This window comes from Homo sapiens, chromosome 10 (genome assembly GCF_000001405.40).
Source record: "Homo sapiens chromosome 10, GRCh38.p14 Primary Assembly".
NCBI lineage: Eukaryota > Metazoa > Chordata > Mammalia > Primates > Hominidae > Homo > Homo sapiens.
Genome location: NC_000010.11, coordinates 30,934,663 through 30,954,390, shown reverse-complemented (window position 1 = coordinate 30,954,390; position 19,728 = coordinate 30,934,663). Strand labels below are relative to the sequence as shown.

Here is a 19,728-nt window from a genome sequence, read left to right as displayed (position 1 = left end):
TCTGAAGCTTTTTCTTACATTTCTCTCTAGAGATAATGGGGATGAGAAACTGTTTAGTTTTGAAAAGATCAAGTCCTGGTTCTTTAAAAATTTTCCTCTAACTTCTACTTGAAAATGAAACAGTTCTTTCATCAGTTTGTGTATCCATAACTTATAGATAGCTAAAGGAGACCACCACTTTCAACCTTTCGCCTAGAAATCTTCTTAGCCAAATTTACCACTTTATGGGGGTATATTTTGTCTTTTTTTTTAAACAGTCTCGCACTGTCGCCTGGGCTGGAGTGCAGTGGTGCGATCTTGGCTCAATGCAACCTCCACATCCCGGGTTCAAGTGATTCTCCTGCCTCAGCCTTCTGAGTAGCTGGGATTACAGGTGCCCGCCACCACATCCAGCTAATTTTTTGTATTTTCAGTAGAGAAGGGATTACACCATGTTGGCCAGGCTGGTCTTGAACTCCTGACCTCATGATCCATCCGCATTGGCCTCCCAAAGTGTTGGGAGTACAGGTGTGAGCCACTGTGCCCGGCCTATTTTGTCTTTTCTATTTCATGTGAGGAACAGTGTTACAAACTTCCCACTGCATAAGAAGAGTTATTCATCTATCCACCATAAGGTTTTCATTAATGTTGTTCAAACCTTCACTAACAGTCTTCTTAAGTCACTTCCAGCTTCTGCTCACCTCTGGTCCCAAAGCCAATGCCACATGTTTGTTTTTTTTTTGTGTGTGTGTGTGTGTATGTTTTTTTTTTTATTATTATATTTTAAGTTTTAGGGTACATGTGCACGTTGTGCAGGTTAGTTACATATGTATAATTGATTCTTACATCATTATGAAATATTTCTCAATACTGCTAGTATTATCTCATGTTTTGAAGTTTATTTTATTGGCTAGTAATATAGCTCCCTCCAGTTTTCTTAATGATTAGTATCTGCATGGTATCTCTTTGGATTCTTTTACTTTTTTTTTTAATTTTTTAAATTTTTTTTATTATACTTTAAGTTTTAGGGTACATGTGCACATTGTGCAGGTTAGTTACATATGTATACATGTGCCACGCTGGTGCGCTGCACCCACTAACTCGTCATCTAGCATTAGGTATATCTCCCAATGTTATCCCTCCCCTCTACCCCCACCACACAACAGTCCCCAGAGTGTGATATTCCCCTTCCTGTGTCCATGTGATCTCATTGTTCAATTCCCACCTATGAGTGAGAATATGCGGTGTTTGGTTTTTTGTTCTTGCGACAGTTTACTGAGAATGATGATTTCCAATTTCATCCATGTCCCTACAAAGGACGTGAACTCATCATTTTTTATGGCTGCATAGTATTCCATGGTGTATATGTGCCACATTTTCTTAATCCAGTCTATCATTGTTGGACATTTGGGTTGGTTCCAAGTCTTTGCTATTGTGAATAATGCCACAATAAACATACGTGTGCATGTGTCTTTATAGCAGCATGATTTATAGTCCTTTGGGTATATACCCAGTAATGGGATGGCTGGGTCAAATGGTATTTCTAGTTCTAGATCCCTGAGGAATCGCCACACTGACTTCCACAATGGTTGAACTAGTTTACAGTCCCACCAACAGTGTAAAAGTGTTCCTATTTCTCCACATCTTCTCCAGCACCTGTTGTTTCCTGACTTTTTAATGATTGCCATTCTAACTGGTGTGAGATGGTATCTCATTGTGGTTTTGATTTGCATTTCTCTGATGGCCAGTGATGATGAGCATTTTTTCATGTGTTTTTTGGCTGCATAAATGTCTTCTTTTGAGAAGTGTCTGTTCATGTCCTTCGCCCACTTTTTGATGGGGTTGTTTGTTTTTTTCTTGTAAATTTGTTTGAGTTTATTGTAGATTCTGGATATTAGCCCTTTGTCAGATGAGTAGGTTGCGAAAATTTTCTCCCATTTTGTAGGTTGCCTGTTCACTCTGATGGTAGTTTCTCTTGCTGTTCAGAAGCTCTTTAATTTAATTAGATCCCATTTGTCAGTTTTGGCTTTTGTTGCCATTGCTTTTGGTGTTTTAGACATGAAGTCCTTGCCCATGCCTATGTCCTGAATGGTAATGCCTAGGTTTTCTTCTAGGGTTTTTATGGTTTTAGGTCTAACGTTTAAGTCTTTAATCCATCTTGAATTGATTTTTGTATAAGGTGTAAGGAAGGGATCCAGTTTCAGCTTTCTACATATGTCTAGCCAGTTTTCCCAGCACCATTTATTAAATAGGGAATCCTTTCCCCATTGCTTGTTTTTGTCAGGTTTGTCAAAGATCAGATAGTTGTAGATAGGCAGCGTTATTTCTGAGGGCTCTGTTCAGTTCCATTGATCTATATCTCTGTTTTGGTACCAGTACCATGCTGTTTTGGTTACTGTAGCCTTGTAGTATAGTTTGAAGTCAGGTAGTGTGATGCCTCCAGCTTTGTTCTTTTGGCTTAGGATTGACTTGGCAATGCGGGCTCTTTTTTGGTTCCATATGAACTTTAAAGTAGTTTTTTTCCAATTCTGTGAAGAAAGGCATTGGTAGCTTGATGGGGATGGCATTGAATCTGTAAATTACCTTGGGCAGTATGGCCATTTTCATGGTATTGATTCTTCCTACACATGAGCATGGAATGTTCTTCCATTTGTTTGTATCCTCTTTTATTTCATTGAGCAGTGGTTTATAGTTATCCTTGAAGAGGTCCTTCACATCCCTTGTAAGTTGGATTCCTAGGTATTTTATTCTCTTTGAAGCAATTGTGAATGGGCGTTCACTCATGATTTGGCTCTCTGTTTGTCTGTTGCTGGTATATAAGAATGCTTGTGATTTTTGTACATTGATTTTGTATCCTGAGACTTTGCTGAAGTTGCTTATCAGCTTAAGGAGATTTTGGGCTGAGACAATGGGGTTTTCTGGATATACAATCATGTCGTCTGCAAACAGGTACAATTTGACTTCCTCTTTTCCTAATTGAATACCCTTTATTTCCTTCTCCTGCCTAATTGCCCTGGCCAGAACTTCCAACACTATGTTGAATAGGAGTGGTGAGAGAGGGCATCCCTGTCTTGTGCCAGTTTTCAAAGGGAATGCTTCCAGTTTTTGCCCATTCAGTATGATATTGGCTGTGGGTTTGTCATAGATAGCTCTTATTATTTTGAAATACGTTCCATCAATACCTAATTTATTGAGAGTTTTTAGTATGAAAGTTTGTTGAATTTTGTCAAAGGCTTTTTCTGCATCTATTGAGATAATCATGTGGTTTTTGTCTTTGGCTCTGTTTATATGCTGGATTACATTTATTGATTTGCGTATATTGAACCAGCCTTGCATCCCAGGGATGAAGCCCACTTGATCCTGGTGGATAAGCTTTTTGATGTGCTGCTGGATTCGTTTTGCCAGTATTTTATTGAGGATTTTTGCATCAATGTTCATCAAGGATATTGGTCTAAAATTCTCTTTTTTTGTTGTGTCTCTGCCCGGCTTTGGTATCAGAATGATGCTGACCTCATAAAATGAGTTAGGGAGGATTCCCTCTTTTTCTATTGATTGGAATAATTTCAGAAGGAATGGTACCAGTTCCTCCTTGTACCTCTGGTAGAATTCAGCTGTGAATCCATCTGGTCCTGGACTCTTTTTGGTTGGTAAGCTATTGATTATTGCCACAGTATCAGATCCTGTTATTGGTCTATTCAGAGATTCAACTTCTTCCTGGTTTAGTCTTGGGAGAGTGTATGTGTCAAGGAATTTATCCATTTCTTCTAGATTTTCTAGTTTATTTGCATAGAGGTGTTTGTAGTATTCTCTGATGGTAGTTTGTATTTCTGTGGGATCGGTGGTGATATCCCCTTTATCATTTTTTATTGCATCTATTGATTCTTCTCTCTTTTTTTCTTTATTAGTCTTGCTAGCAGTCTATCAATTTTGTTGATCCTTTCAAAAAACCAGCTCCTGGATTCATTAATTTTTTGAAGGGTTTTTTGTGTCTCTATTTCCTTCAGTTCTGCTCTGATTTTAGTTATTTCTTGCCTTCTGCTAGCTTTTGAATGTGTTTGCTCTTGCTTTTCTAGTTCTTTTAATTGTGATGTTAGGGTGTCAATTTTGGATGTTTCCTGCTTTCTCTTGTGGGCATTTAGTGCTATAAATTTCCCTTTACACGCTGCTTTGAATGCGTCCCAGAGATTCTGGTATGTTGTGTCTTTGTTCTCGTTGGTTTCAAAGAACATCTTTATTTCTGCCTTCATTTCGTTATGTACCCAGTAGTCATTCAGGAGCAGGTTGTTCAGTTTCCATGTAGTTGAGCGGTTTTGAGTGAGATTCTTAATCCTGAGTTCTAGTTTGATTGCACTGTGGTCTGAGAGATAGTTTGTTATAATTTCTGTTCTTTTACATTTGTTGAGGAGAGCTTTACTACCAAGTATGTGGTCAATTTTGGAATAGGTGTGGTGTGGTGCTGAAAAAAAATGTATATTCTGTTGATTTGGGGTAGAGAGTTCTGTAGATGTCTATTAGGTCCGCTTGGTGCAGAGCTGAGTTCAATTCCTGGATATCCTTGTTGACTTTCTGTCTCGTTGATCTGTCTAATGTTGACAGTGGGGTGTTAAAGTCTCCCATTATTAATGTGTGGGAGTCTAAGTCTCTTTGTAGGTCACTCAGGACTTGCTTTATGAATCTGGGTGCTCCTGTATTGGGTGCATATATATTTAGGATAGTTAGCTCTTCTTGTTGAATTGATCCCTTTACCATTATGTAATGGCCTTGTCTCTTTTGATCTTTGTTGGTTTAAAGTCTGTTTTATCAGAGACTAGTATTACAACCCCTGCCTTTTTTTGTTTTCCATTTGCTTGGTAGATCTTCCTCCATCCTTTTATTTTGAGCCTATATGTGTCTCTGCACATGAGATGGGTTTCCTGAATACAGCACACTGATGGGTCTTGACCCTTTGTCCAATTTGCCAGTCTGTGTCTTTTAATTGGAGCATTTAGTCCATTTACATTTAAAGTTAATATTGTTACATGTGAATTTGATCCTGTCATGATGATGTTAGCTGGTTATTTTGCTCGTTAGTTGATGCAGTTTCTTCGTAGTCTTGATGGTCTTTACATTTTGGCATGATTTTGCAGTGGCTGGTACCGGTTTTTCCTTTCCATGTTTAGCGCTTCCTTCAGGAGCTCTTTTAGGGCAGGCCTGGTGGTGACAAAATCTCTCAGCATTTGTTTGTCTGTAAAGGATTTTATTTCTCCTTCGCTTATGAAGCTTAGTTTGGCTGGATATGAAATTCTGGGTTGAAAATTGTTGTCTTTAAGAATGTTGAATATTGGCCCCCACTCTCTTCTGGCTTGTAGGGTTTCTGCCGAGAGATCCGCTGTTAGTCTGATGGGCTTCCCTTTGAGGGTAACCCGACCTTTCTCTCTGGCTGCCGTTAACATTTTTTCCTTCATTTCAACTCTGGTGAATCTGACAATTATGTGTCTTGGAGTTGCTCTTCTTGAGGAGTATCTTTGTGGCGTTCTCTGTATTTCCTGAATCTGAACGTTGGCCTGCCTTGCTAGATTGGGGAAGTTCTCCTGGATAATATCCTGCAGAGTGTTTTCCAACTTGGTTCCATTCTCCCCATCACTTTCAGGTACACCAATCAGATGTAGATTTGGTCTTTTCACATAGTCCCATATTTCTTGGAGGCTTTGCTCATTTCTTTTTATTCTTTTTTGTCTAAACTTCCCTTCTCGCTTCATTTCATTCATTTCATCTTCCATCGCTGATACCCTTTCTTCCAGTTGATCGCATCGGCTCCTGAGGCTTCTGCATTCTTCACGTAGTTCTCGAGCCTTGGTTTTCAGCTCCATCAGCTCCTTTAAGCACTTCTCTGTATTGGTTATTCTAGTTATACGTTCGTCTAAATTTTTTTCAAAGTTTTCAACTTCTTTGCCTTTGGTTTGAATGTCCTCCCGTAGCTCAGAGTAATTTGATCGTCTGAAGCCTTCTTCTCTCAGCTCGTCGAAGTCATTCTCCATCCAGCTTTGTTCCGTTGCTGGTGAGGAACTGCGTTCCTTTGGAGGAGGAGAGGTGCTCTGCTTTTTAGAGTTTCCAGTTTTTCTGTTCTGTTTTTTCCCCATCTTTGTGGTTTTATCTACTTTTGGTCTTTGATGATGGTGATGTACAGATGGGTTTTTGGTGGGGATGTCTTTTCTGTTTGTTAGTTTTCCTTCTAACAGACAGGACCCCTCAGCTGCAGGTCTGTTGGAATACCCTGCCGTGTGAGATGTCGGTGTGCCCCTGCTGGGGGGTGCCTCCCAGTTAGGCTGCTCAGGGGTCAGGGGTCAGGGACCCACTTGAGGAGGCAGTCTGCCCGTACTGAGATCTCCAGCTGCGGAGGAGCCAAGATGGCCGAATAGGAACAGCTCCGGTCTACAGCTCCCAGCGTGAGCGATGCAGAAGACGGTGATTTCTGCATTTCCATCTGAGGTACTGGGTTCATCTCACTAGGGAGTGCCAGACAGTGGGCGCAGGTCAGTGGGTGCGCGAGCCGAAGCAGGGCGAGGCATTGCCTCACTTGGGAAGCGCAAGGGGTCAGGGAGTTCCCTTTCCGAGTCAAAGAAAGGGGTGACAGATGGCACCTGGAAAATCGGGTTACTCCCTCCCGAATACTGCGCTTTTCCGACGGGCTTAAAAAATGGTGCACCACGAGATTATATCCCACACCTGGCTCGGAGGGTCCTACACCCACGGAGTCTCGCTGATTGCTAGCACAGCAGTCTGAGATCAAACTGCAAGGCGGCAGTGAGGCTGGGAGAGGGGCACCCGCCATTGCCCAGGCTTGATTAGGTAAACAAAGCAGCCGGGAAGCTCCAACTGGGCGGAGCCCACCACAGCTCAAGGAGGCCTGCCTCCCTCTGTAGGCTCCACCTCTGGGGGCAGGGCACAGACAAACAAAAAGACAGCAGTAACCTCTGCAGACTTAAATGTCCCTGTCTGACAGCTTTGAAGAGAGCAATGTTTTAAGATTTTATTACAGAATTCCACTTCCCTTTACTAGATTCTGTTATGGTTCTCTAATTCTGTGTAAGAAAATACCTAAACACATCCCCTGAAGACACAGCCATTTTATTGTACCTCACAATTTGTGGGCCAGAGAAAAGGGCAGGTTCAGCTGATGGTTATTCTTTTTCATGTAGCATCACCTGAGGTCACTTGGTGGCCTTCAACTCGAGAATGAGCTCAATGCGGTCTGGAGGATAAAAGACAGCTGTAATCACATTTCTGTCACTTTGGCAAAGATAACCCAAAACCTAGTTTTATCTGGGACTGTCTACCAGAGGACTTGCATGTAGCTTCTCTAGTATAACAGTCCTACAGTAGTTAGATTATGATGACAGTAGCACAAAAGACAGGAAGGAGGAAATAGATAAATTTTATTACAAAGTTTTTATATTTTGTATGTGACGTGGTATAATATTTGAAGTTATGTTGTGGCAGGTTAAATGTGCATATTTTAAACACGAGCACAATCACTAAAGCTACAAAGATACAAGTATATTTATAATAGGCCAGTAGTGGAGATAAAATGGAAAACTAAAAAGTATTCAATTTCAAATATGGCAGGAAAAAAAGGGAAAAGGGAACAAGAACAGATTGGGAGAAATAGGAAATAACAAGATAATTCATTCAGATCCAACCATATAAATAATTACATTAAGTTTAAATGATCTAAATATTCTAAAGACAGCAATCATCAGGCTGGATAAAGTAGCAAGACCTAACTATACTGTCTACAAAATATTCCCTTCAAATATATACAAAGTGGTTAAAAGTAAAAGAGTCATGTGTTTTTTGGCTGCATAGATGTCTTCTTTTGAGAAGTGTCTGTTCATGTCCTTCGCCCACTTTTTGATGGGGTTGTTTGTTTTTTTCTTGTAAATTTGTTTGAGTTCATTGTAGATTCTGGATATTAGCCCTTTGTCAGATGAGTAGGTTGCGAAAATTTTCTCCCCTTTTGTAGGTTGCCTGTTCACTCTGATGGTAGTTTCTTTTGCTGTGCAGAAGCTGTTTAGTTTAATTAGATCCCATTTGTCAACTTTGTCTTTTGTTGCCATTGCTTTTGGTGTTTTAGACATGAAGTCCTTGCCCATGCCTATGTCCTGAATGGTAATGCCTAGGTTTTCTTCTAGGGTTTTTATGGTTTTAGGTCTAATGTTTAAGTCTTTAATCCGTCTTGAATTGATTTTTGTATAAGGTGTAAAAAATGCTCATCATCACTGGCCATCAGAGAAATGCAAATCAAAACCACAATGAGATACCATCTCACACCAGTTAGAATGGCAATCATTAAAAAGTCAGGAAACAACAGGTGCTGGAGAGGATGTGGAGAAATAGGAACACTTTTACACTGTTGGTGGGACTGTAAACTAGTTCAACCATTGTGGAAGTCAGTGTGGCGATTCCTCAGGGATCTAGAACTAGAAATACCATTTGACCCAGCCATCCCATTACTGGGTATATACCCAAAGGACTATAAATCATGCTGCTATAAAGACACATGCACACGTATGTTTATTGTGGCATTATTCACAATAGCAAAGACTTGGAACCAACCCAAATGTCCAACAATGATAGACTGGATTAAGAAAATGTGGCACATATACACCATGGAATACTATGCAGCCATAAAAAATGATGAGTTCACGTCCTTTGTAGGGACATGGATGAAATTGGAAATCATCATTCTCAGTAAACTGTCGCAAGAACAAAAAACCAAACACCGCATATTCTCACTCATAGGTGGGAATTGAACAATGAGATCACATGGACACAGGAAGGGGAATATCACACTCTGGGGACTGTTGTGTGGTGGGGGTAGAGGGGAGGGATAACATTGGGAGATATACCTAATGCTAGATGATGAGTTAGTGGGTGCAGCGCACCAGCGTGGCACATGTATACGTATGTAACTAACCTGCACAATGTGCACCTAAAACTTAAAGTATAATAAAAAAAAGTAAAAAAAAATAAAAAAAAAAAAAGTAAAAGAATCCAAAGAGATACCATGCAGATACTAATCATTAAGAAAACTGGAGGGAGCTATATTACTAGCCAATAAAATAAACTTCAAAACATGAGATAATACTAGCAGTATTGAGAAATATTTCATAATGATGTAAGAATCAATTAATTAAAGAGACATAATTTTAAATGTCTGTAAGCCTGATACTAACAGAGCCTTAAAATACTTGAAGCAATAATGGACAGAACAGAAAAGAGAAATAGATAAAGCTATTACAGTTAGTTTTCTCAACACTTCTCTTTCTCACTTTTCTTTCAGTTGCTAGAACAAGTAGGCAGAATATCAGTAAAAAAAAAAAAAATCTGGAAGAGTACTGTAAAGTAGAAAAAAATCAACAAAACCACAAAACCAAAAGTTGTTTCTTTGAAAAGAATAACAAAACTGATAAACCCCTACTAAGAAAAAAAAAGAAAGTTCAAATTAACAATATAAGAATAAACAGGAAACATTAATAGAGATCCAGGAAATATATAAGGGATAAGAAAATATGATGAACAATTTTGTGTCAATACATTCGACAGTTTAATGAAATAAACAGATTCCTTGAAACAACCGTTTCTCCTCTTTGACATGACTAACTGCACTAACGTTCTTGTTCCATCTTCTCTTGAATTTGTTCCATTATTTAGTACTCTCCCTTGAAAAATACAGCATAAAAATGACTCAAAAGAAGTAAAAAATCTGAATGCTGCTATATCTGTTAGAGGTATCAACTCCTTAATTAGAAATCTCCCCACCTCTAGTGGCATTCGTCAACTGAACTGGGTCTCATTATTAAGTCCTTGAATGTGTCTAGAAATTCAAAACCACTGTAGCTGGCGAGTTCTCCCCTCAACCCAACCCCCATATAGTTTTCTTCATACTACTTTCTATTTATTTACTTTACATCCCTGTTGGTGGAGTTTGAAGGGACCAATTAATTATATCACTTTTTTATTCTTACCTCTGAACTCTTTAAGAAGTAGACTTAAGATAAGAACGAAAATGTCAGTTTTGTTTATAGAGAAACTAGGTAAAAGAGTACACCTAGCTTTGCATCTAGTCTTCCTACCCCTTCAAATTGGATTGACTTAACTTGCCCTGTAGTGTTTACTATGTAGATGACTGGACAATGAATTTGCATTTGGACAAGCAAGTTCTGAGAGTCAGAGACTGTTGACACATGTGGCCAGTCTTTTGCCGAAACAGATGTGTCAGAAAGAGGGAGAGAGATTGGTGTTTTGTCACCTACAACTTAGGTGACGCCCTACTCTTATGCTCTCTTTTTCCAAGCAGTCGTGCTCCCAGTTCAGATGGAACCCACAATTAGTCCACTGCTGACTTACTTTCAGTTCCTTATGTCATTTGGACCTTATGCTCTATTGTGAACAAGTTATTAGAACTTTGATCTTCTCTCATAACTCTTTTCCCTTCACTTCCCTAGAAATTTAAACCTGGCATTCAAAGGCCGCAATTTGTTTGTTTGTTTGTTTGTTTGTTTGTTTGTTTTACCATCTCAAGAAAAAGCATGGCATTTAAAAAATCTAGGTTTTAAAGGAGGCTTGATGTGTACCTTTGCTCACCAGTATCAATTCAAGGCTCAGCATGCCACCTTTGTTCCTTAGTTCCTTTTCTTATAACTCTTTCACTACCATCTCCCTTTTCTAATTCCTGTTACTGGTTGACTTCCAGGACACTGCTCCAAATTCTTCAATGATGTCACCACCAGGCTTGAAAGTAATGTCAACCCACACTATGTGACTATAATCTGTTTCTCCAAATTCATATTTTGAGTTTCTGATACTCAGAACTCATAGTGTTTTAACTGTCTCAGTTATGCCAACCAGAATTGTTCCAATATCTTAAATACTAAAAGCCCCTCTTTTCTGTTTTCTTCTTCTCTGGCAATTTTTTTCTCTTAAAACTCTTAAATTCAAGTATTTTTTCCATTCATATGCTTTCTCTTCATCTCTTTTTCTCCCTTCTTCTCTCCTCCTCCCTTTCCCTCTGTCTCAATAGATGGTCTTGCCATTGGGTCTGAATTCCCTCAACTTTACTCCCTTACACACAAATGTTTGTATTCATCACCCATCCTTTCCTCTATTTCTAACCATAGAGAAACAACTGTTTCTTCTCTTTAACATGACTAACTGCACTAAAGTTCTTGTTCCCATCTTCTCTTGAATTTGTTCCATTATTTAGCACTCTCCCTTGTATTTCTTCCTGTTACTAGCATTAAAAATGAAAAAAAAACAGCACCAATGACAAAAACCTTGTTAAAGATTCAGCTTCACTTTCAAAGTATACCAGACTTCTTAGAAGACTAAAATTTATTGGTTAATTCCACTTTTTCTCCTTAAATTGGAAGTCTTTGTTTACTTTTATTGCCTTTCTGAAACGTATTCCAAAGGTCACTAGTGATTGGTAAGTTCTCAGTTCTTCTGCCTTGAAAAGGCAGGACAGGGCGCTCTCTTCTTTTGCTCTTCTTTCGTGACTTCAGTATTTTGTGGAAGGCCTCTTCTAAAATAAACCTTTTAGGAGATGTGCAAACTGTTCTATTGACTTAGTGCAGCAAACAAGACTACACAGATGATTCTGAAATGATGCCTCCTTAGAGAAAATTTGTATAAGATTTTTATTATAGGTTGGAGATACGAAATTCTAGGACAGGATATCAGAAATGACGCAAGTCATCGGATTGATTGATTTCTTAAGTTCATGGTTCATGTAAACAATGCATGATTCTGATTGGAAAGAAAGGTCTATTGTGGTCTAAGAATCCTATGTTTGTAACCATATCACTGAATGTTGGTGATGGTTTCACGTCTCAGTCTTGCATAATTGTTTAGGCTGTTATTCTGCTTCTCACTTTCAAGTATATTTCAGAGAATTTTAAACTTTTTACTTTTATTGCAGTTACTCTGATTTCTTCTCATCTTGACTACCGTAGTAACAAAATAGATCTCACTGCTTTTTGAATTTTCTCATGGTAACTTACACTTGAAAACCAGAGCCATCTTTTAAAATACAAATTTGAATGTGTTTTCTGCCAAACACCCTTGGTGCCTCTTTATGTATAAAATAAAGCCCCATGTACTGAATCTAGCATTCAACCTCTTACAGTATAATCTCAGCCCCAAATCCTAGTCCTTATCGATCTCCCTCCCCATTTCTCTCTTTCTCTTTGTATTCAGTCCATAAGGCAGAGCCTTCCCACATTTTCCCTGTAGTAATTATCGTGCTCCAAAATCCCGTAGCGCCTTGTGTCACTTGTAGCACTTACTACATCGCCTCGATACAGAGTTTTTCATGTTTGCCTGTTATTGTGGTTTGTATTTCTTAAGAACAAAAACTGTCTCTTATTCAATTTCATAGCTCCCTGTTCCCCATGATACTGAGTAGGGCACAAATGCCAGCTAAATTTTAAATAATTCAGTTTAAATCAGGCTTAAATATCTAATAATATATTTTCTAGAATTTTTAGCAGGTTGACATAAAAATATGTGAAGACAATATATCTCCTATTTTAGAAGTCTTTGAGCACAGCTTGAGATTTTTATTTTAGGTTCTTAAATTATACGTGGTATAAGAACTGTAAATTTTACAGAACTTCGTAGAACTCTTTTATGGTCTTTCAGGTGCAGTCATCTAATTGGCTCCTATAAGGTACCTAGAAATTCTTTATAATTTTGTTATTTCCACTACATTTGTTTTCAGATAAAAATGAATGCCATTTCCCATCCAGTACTGAAGTGTTAAAGTTAGAAGACATTTGCTAAGTCAAATCACTTCAGGTAAGTCTGCTCACATCTAGCTTGGTACCAGCTTAAGATTTATTTAAAATGCAAAGAATTAAGTTTACTAACTTGGACATCTCAACTCTCAAATTTCTCAGCATATCTTCTAGTCACCTTGTATATTGAATCACTGGTCTTGGGAAATAGTGGAAAGATGATTTCTTATTAAATTTCACATGCTTATAAAAATAAAATGTTCTGGCCAGGCATGGTGGCTCATGCCTGTAATGCCAGCACTTTGGGAGGCCGAGATGGGTGGATCACCTGAGATCAGGATTTCGAGACCAGCCTGACCAACAAGGTGAAACCTCTTCTCTACTAAAACTACAAAAATTAGTTGGGCATGGTGGCAGGCGCCTGTAGTCCCAGCTACTTGGGAGGCTGAGACAGGAGAGTTGCTTCAACCCTGGAGGCCGAGGTTGCAATGAGCTGAGATCACGCTACTGCAGTCCAGCCTGGGCAACAGAACGAGACTCCATGTCAAAATAAAATAAAATAAAATAAAATAAAATGTTCAGTTTTAAACTCTTGGTGTTATTTGTCTAAGTGAGACTAACACCTTAAAATCATCCTTGTATTTGTATCAAGTCTAGTCGTTAAGTCCTAAGTGCCAAACAATGCTTTTGCGTTGTAGCTAATATATATATATAGTTTTTTAAGGCTTTATACAACTTTTCTAAGTTATTTATATGTTCTTATTTAAAGAAATATTTTGTTAATTAACTAGCACTTGAACCTTAAATGTTTATTAACTGTTTGTGTAAAAAATCTTTGAAAGGTCATCTTAATCACCCTCAACTCTTATAGTGATCTCCTAATAATCTTTCTGTATTCATTCTCTCTTCCCCTGTCCTGTGTTCATTGTTAGATAAACCTGCATATAGAACCACTTTTAGTAATTTTAAAACGCTTTAATGGCTTCCAACTCCCTCTTGGATGGAATCCATGTTCGTTTGCCTAGCATTCAAAGCCTCCCACGAAGATCCTGAAAATGTACCCCACTTGAGCCAACTGGGCTTTTCCTATTCTCTGAACTCTCATTGTTCTTCATGCATCTGTCTTAACTTGTACTGGTTTTCCTGCCTGTGATGTCCCCTGCTGCCCTGACACTATTTCCTCTGCACGTTGAAACCCTGTGCAAGCCTCTCTATGACACGTTCTCTGATTACTCCAGCTAGAAGCACTAGCTCTTTCTCTCTCTGCCAGTGTCATCTAATGTTTTGTTTGTATCACCGTTGTGGCATATTTTACCGTGTAGCTTTATTGTTTGTGTTTATGTTTGTCTTATCTCCCACCCTAGATTGTAAGGACTATAAAATCCAAGATCTTGTCTGATTTTTGTTTCCTACAGCTTTCACCATAGCCTTTAATAGTGCTTAGTAAATATTTATGTAATAAATTAAGAGTGTGCTGGCTTTTTCTCTCATCATTTCCTTTGTCTTTCATCCTTATAAATGCATATGTTCCATATTCTTGGCAACCATTTTTGTTCTGCACTCCTGGTTGCCATCTTCTCCTAGGAAAATACTGACCTTAGTGCAGTTAACAAGATACAGTCAGTTCCTGACCCAAGAAATGCACTGTATTCCAAAAGTTCATGTCTAGTTCTGTTGTTTGGAATGCAGAATATATTTTTCCACAAAAACAATGTTATAAATAGTGGTTAGGTTCTCAGCCAGCCCTCCCAAGACTATTTAACTCACTGGTACCAGCACCACTTTCACTATGGGCAGCCATGGTGTACAATGCTGTTTTGTGGAGAGATTGTAGCTCTGGATATGGAGATATATCTCCCATGCTCTAGAAATAGGACAGAAAGTTTCTGGGCAGGTTGAACAGTAGGAGAGTCTGAGCTGGACCTCTGACAGCATTGGATACTCTCCCATCAGAAGCTTCTTGGTTTTCAGTAGTTACAGGAGAGACTTTTACCTGTAGGTTGCTGATACTCTCATGTCACCTAAATTGAGGGCAAAGGGACACTTGCTCTTCTGATCTTTCCCACAGTTGATTAGGATGGTAAATGGGGTTTTCTCTATCCTTTCACATGGGTGGGTTGTTTTTAAGTCAGGTATTGAAAGATCAGGGACTGTTTCACTAATTCCTCCTTTTGGATGCTATACAAACTTATGGGAATTGAATATATAAACATGGAAAATACTTCTATCTATAGGGAGAAAAACACATTTACAGGTATCACCCCTGTATTTGACATCACATCAGTTTTTGTGGACAAGGGATTATCATTTACATAGGCATAATGATGCTTCTAGTGAGAAACACGTCAGTATGCACATAAACAACCCTCAAGGTTGACGATTGAGGTTGTCATGCTGTAAGAAAAAACACTTCATAAATTTCAGAGAATTTAATTTATTCAGTCATAAGTATTGAGCACATGAGTGTCTACTTTATGCTTAATACTGTGGTCAATGCTAAGGGCTAGGAAGTGGGAACAAAAGATGTTATAGTTTGCCTTCAGGCCAGGAGCAGTGGCTCATGCCTCTAATCCCAGCACTTTGGGAGGCCGAGGTGGGTAGATCACAAGATCAGGAGATTGAGACCATCCTGGCTAACACGGTGAAACCCCGTCTCTACTAAAAATACAAAAAATTAGCCGGGTGTGGTGGTGCATGCCTGTAGTCCCAGCTACTCAGGAGGCTGAGGCATGAGAATCACTTGAACCTGGGAGGCAGAGGTTGCACTGAGCCAAGATCGTGCCACTGCACTCCAGCCTGGCAACAGAGTGAGACTCCATCTCAAAATAAATAAATAAATAAATAAATAAATAAATAAAGTTTGCTTCCCTGGGAAGTCTGAAATATAGGGAGCAAAATATTAAACATTCACATTGAAAACAATATATGATTAATTGCCATAAAATGCTTCATAAACATAAAAAATGCCTTTTGGATTATCAGAATGGAATATCATATCCCCATGGTTGTAAGGATACTGGTGGGATTTCACTTAGCTTTAGAAGAATAGTGCTAGAGCTAGGCCAGGCATGGTGGCTCACGCCTGTAATCCCAGCACTTTGGGAGGCCAAGGCGGGCAGATCACCTGAGGTCAGGAGTTTGAGACCAGCCTGACCAATATGATGAAACCCCATCTCTACTAAAAATACACAAATTAGCCAGGCATGGTGGCGTGCACCTGTAATCCCAGCTACTTGGGAGGCTGAGACAGGAGAATCGCTTGAATCCGGGAGGCAGAGGTTGCAGTGAGCTGATTGTGCCATTGCACTCCAGCCTGGGCAACAAGAGAGAAACTCCATCTAAAAAAAAAAAAAAGAGCTATAGAGGAAATGATATTCCAGGTTGGATTAACCGCATGAATAGAGAACTGGCAACACAAGCAAACAAAGCATTACTGAGCGGAGCAGAGTGGTTAATTCATGTTGGCTGAAACAATGGGGGTGCGGGGCAGGGAATTAGACCGCTGGTTCAACCCTGGCAGTAGATAAGAGTCATCCATAGATATTTTTAAAGATATTAAGTCCCTAGATCTTAGCCCAGAACTAGTAAATAGAGTTTCAGGGGCATGGAACATAAACCTGTTTGTTTTTTAAAGCTCCCCTCGTGGTTCTGATATCATCCAGGGTTGAAAATCCTTGAATTAGAAGAATGGGCCAAATTTAGGAGAACCATGAATGCCCTCCTGAGGAGTTGAGCCTCTGTCCCTCAAGCACTGGGAAGACTATAGAGGTTTCTGAGACAGGTGACATGATCAAATTGGTGTTTGCCAAGATAAATGATTTGTCAGCTACATGTGAATGGAAGAGAAATAAGAAACAGCTTGAATTAGAGCAGTGGTCGTGGTAATAAAGAGAAGAGCCACCTTTTTAAGTGTAGTTAGATGTGTGGGAGCTGGTGATGTCAGCCTTGACCTCAGCATGATCTGTTTTATAAACTGATTATACAGTTTCACCCTCATTAATTTGATCTCTTTACTCATTCAGCCTGGCAACTTAAATAGTAATTTCAGCCAGTTTGCATTTAATGGAAGGAGACCATTGTCTACTCATGTACCCGTCTAACTCATAATAGTAAGTGAAGTTATGTGTATGAGGAATATGACCTTTAACATAATCATTATAAAGCATTTAATAACCTCCCACATATGCAATAACACAACCCCAGTCCTGTATGATTGTGCCAAGAGCCAGAATCACATGTATAAAGTAGTTATTAGCACACAGTTCCCTAGCATTAAGTTGAAATTTGAAGAAATGTTCTAAATCATGTTATGCATTTTAATATTTTTAGCATTAAATTTGATAATTACATAATTTTCTGATGTTAGACCCAAGCATGCCTCCTGACTACAGCACCTGTTCTTACTCTGAATTTATGCTTCTCTTTGGCAAGGAATGCAGCCCCTCACCCTCCATTTGGGCCCATCCCCTGCTGGTGTCAATCCATTAGCACCCCTGCCCTAGGCTCATCCAAAGGGATAACTGGGCCAGCAGAGAGGAGTTGTAAAGGAGTCAGAATTTCTTTTGTGGCACAGACACACAAAGGATCTTGGTGGTTCTTTTGCTTCTGGTCCAAGAGGAACACGATAGCTGCTAAGGTACACACACTGAGGAGTCCCAAGTCTCACCACAGGTGAGAAACATTTCATATCTCTTTGATGTGTTTAAAATTTTTTTATGTTTGGAGGCAATGAACCACATTAATTAGAGAGCAGAGAATAAGTTCAAAGCATAAAGGTTTGACGTGACCTGCCTCCTTTTAAAAAAAAGCTCAACATCATAAAATATTTAAAAACAGTGACTTTTTTGGCAATTCTTTAATAGTACACATGTGACAACAGTTTCTACCATGGTCTTCGTCCATGACAATACGTTTATTGTTGTTTTATTAATATCTCCACATCCTATGAATTACATTTTTTTTTGAGACGATGTCTTGCTCCTCCCCTAGGCTGGAGTGCGATGGCGCAATCTCAGCTCATTGTAACCTCCGCCTCCCAGGTTCAAGCGATTCTCCTGCCTCAGCCTCTTGAGTAGCTGGGATTACAGGCACCTGCCACCATGCCTGGCTAATTTTTGTATTTTTAGTAGAGACGGGGTTTCACCATCTTGGCCAGGCTGGTCTTGAACTCCTGACCTCAGGTGATCTGCCTGCCTTGGCCTCCCAAAGTGCTGGGATTACAGGCATTAGCCACCATGCCTGGCTGAGTTACATTTCTAATAGCTATTTAGATTTCTGCTAATCACCCAAATGCTTAACCAGAAAGTGGATGGTTTGTTTAGATTTGAGGGATTCTGTAGTAGAGAGGGAAGAGAAAGGGGGTAACATTTATCAAGTGCCCACTTTGTGCCATGTTCTTTACATGTATTTTTCCACTTTAACTCCATTTTGCAAATGAGCAAATCGGGCTTTAGAGGTTTAAAAAAACCGAAGTCATAAGTCGAGTTGGCAATAGAAACTGGATTTGATTACAGGTCTGGCTGTCTGACTGTCTCATCATCCTGGTCTTAGAAATCTTCATGGCTTTTATTTGTGAGGTAAGATCAGTGAACTCAGAATTAGGAGGTTTGAGTACCGGCTTCACCTCTTCTATAGTTTGGATGTTTGTCCCCTCTGATATGGTTTGGCTGTGTCCCCACCCAAATCTCATCTTGAATTGTAATACTCGTAATTTCCACATGTCTAAGGAGAGACCTGGTGGGAGGTGATTGGATCATGGGGCAGTTCCCCCATGCTGTTCTCATGATAGTGAGTGAGTTCTCACAAGATCTGATGGTTTTATAAGGGGCTCTCCCCTCCTCACTCCTCATGCTTTCTCTTGCCTGCCACCATGTAAGACGTGCCTGCTTCCTTTTGCCATGATTGTAAGTTTCCTGAGGCCTCTCCAGCTACATGGAACTGTGAATCAATTCAACCTTTTTTCTTTATAAATTAACCAGTCTCTGGTATTTCTTTATAGCAATGTGAGAACAGACTAATACACTCTCCAAATCTCATGTTAAAATTTGATCCCCATGTTTGAGGTGAGACCTAATGGGAGGTGTTTGAGTCATGGGCGCAGATCCCTCATGAATGTCTTGGCACCCTCCTTGCTCTGTTCGTTTCCACCAAGAGCTGTTAAAAAGAGCGTGGCACCTCCTCCCCTCTTGCTTCCTCTCTTGCTATGTGATCTCTGCACATGCAGCTCTCCCTTTTGCCTCCAGCCATTAGTGGAAACAGCCTGAGGCCCTCACCAGAAGCCAAACAGATGCTGGAACTATATGCCTTCTGTACAGCCTGCAGAACCATGAGCCAAAGAAGGCTGTTTTTCTTTATAAATCACCCAGCCTGACATATTTATAGCAACACTAAATGGACTGAGACAACCTCTGTCACTAACAACCTTGAACAAGTTATTTAACACCACTGAGCTTGAGTTTCCTCATCTGTAATATGGAGATAAAACCTGCTTTACCAACCATTTGGTGTTGTGGTGAGAATAATAAGCTAGGGAGTTTCCAAATGATTTCATAGGTATGAAAACCAATAGAACTTTCAGAGATGTTTAATTCAAGCAAAATACAACAATAACAACAATAAAGATTAAATGAGATGATTTGGACATATTTTATGGTATTTTACTTCCTAGCATTGCTCTACAAACTTACTAAAAGTAATGTTGGTCAGATTTGTAAGTTCCAAACACTGTGGTATTCCAAGCTGTCTCACTGTGCATTTAATACCTCAGTGTAGTAGATAATGTCCTGGCAACATATCAAGTACCTGTTTTCACTTGCCAGAAGCAATCATTAGTTTCTATACCATAGCAAATAGGTCTGAACTCTGATAGATACTGAAGAAATGTTTGTAGCCAATGAGACTACTAACTAGAGATATGGCTTATTGGATTAGAGTTGATATTAACATTCTCAGAACAATTTTTCTTACATTTTTG

General features: G+C 39.4%; 1 protein-coding gene across 54 annotated transcripts in view, besides 1 other annotated feature; it reads left to right on the top strand.

Moving 5' to 3' along the window:
* ZNF438 (zinc finger protein 438) overlaps positions 1–19,728 on the top strand; it is a 187,780-nt gene that overhangs the window by 78,021 nt on the left and 90,031 nt on the right. For 42 of the 54 annotated variants that reach the window (NR_026560.2, XM_047424729.1, XM_024447871.2 and 39 more), the window contains one exon: positions 12,740–12,816. The exons of 10 other annotated variants lie outside the window; for them this stretch is intronic. The gene's annotated coding sequence lies outside the window, so the exon portion shown is untranslated. Of the gene's footprint in view, positions 1–12,739; positions 12,817–18,268; positions 18,332–19,728 lie in introns of all 54 variants that reach the window. 2 more of the 54 variants (XM_047424748.1, XM_047424727.1) reach the window with 1 other exon arrangement.
* Positions 7,144–7,344: a silencer, noted in NCBI's record as "peak916 fragment used in MPRA reporter construct". NCBI's record gives its function as "represses an SCP1 promoter by STARR-seq MPRAs in K562 erythroleukemia cells {active_cell/tissue: K562}" and the evidence as "EXISTENCE:reporter gene assay evidence [ECO:0000049][PMID:32103011]".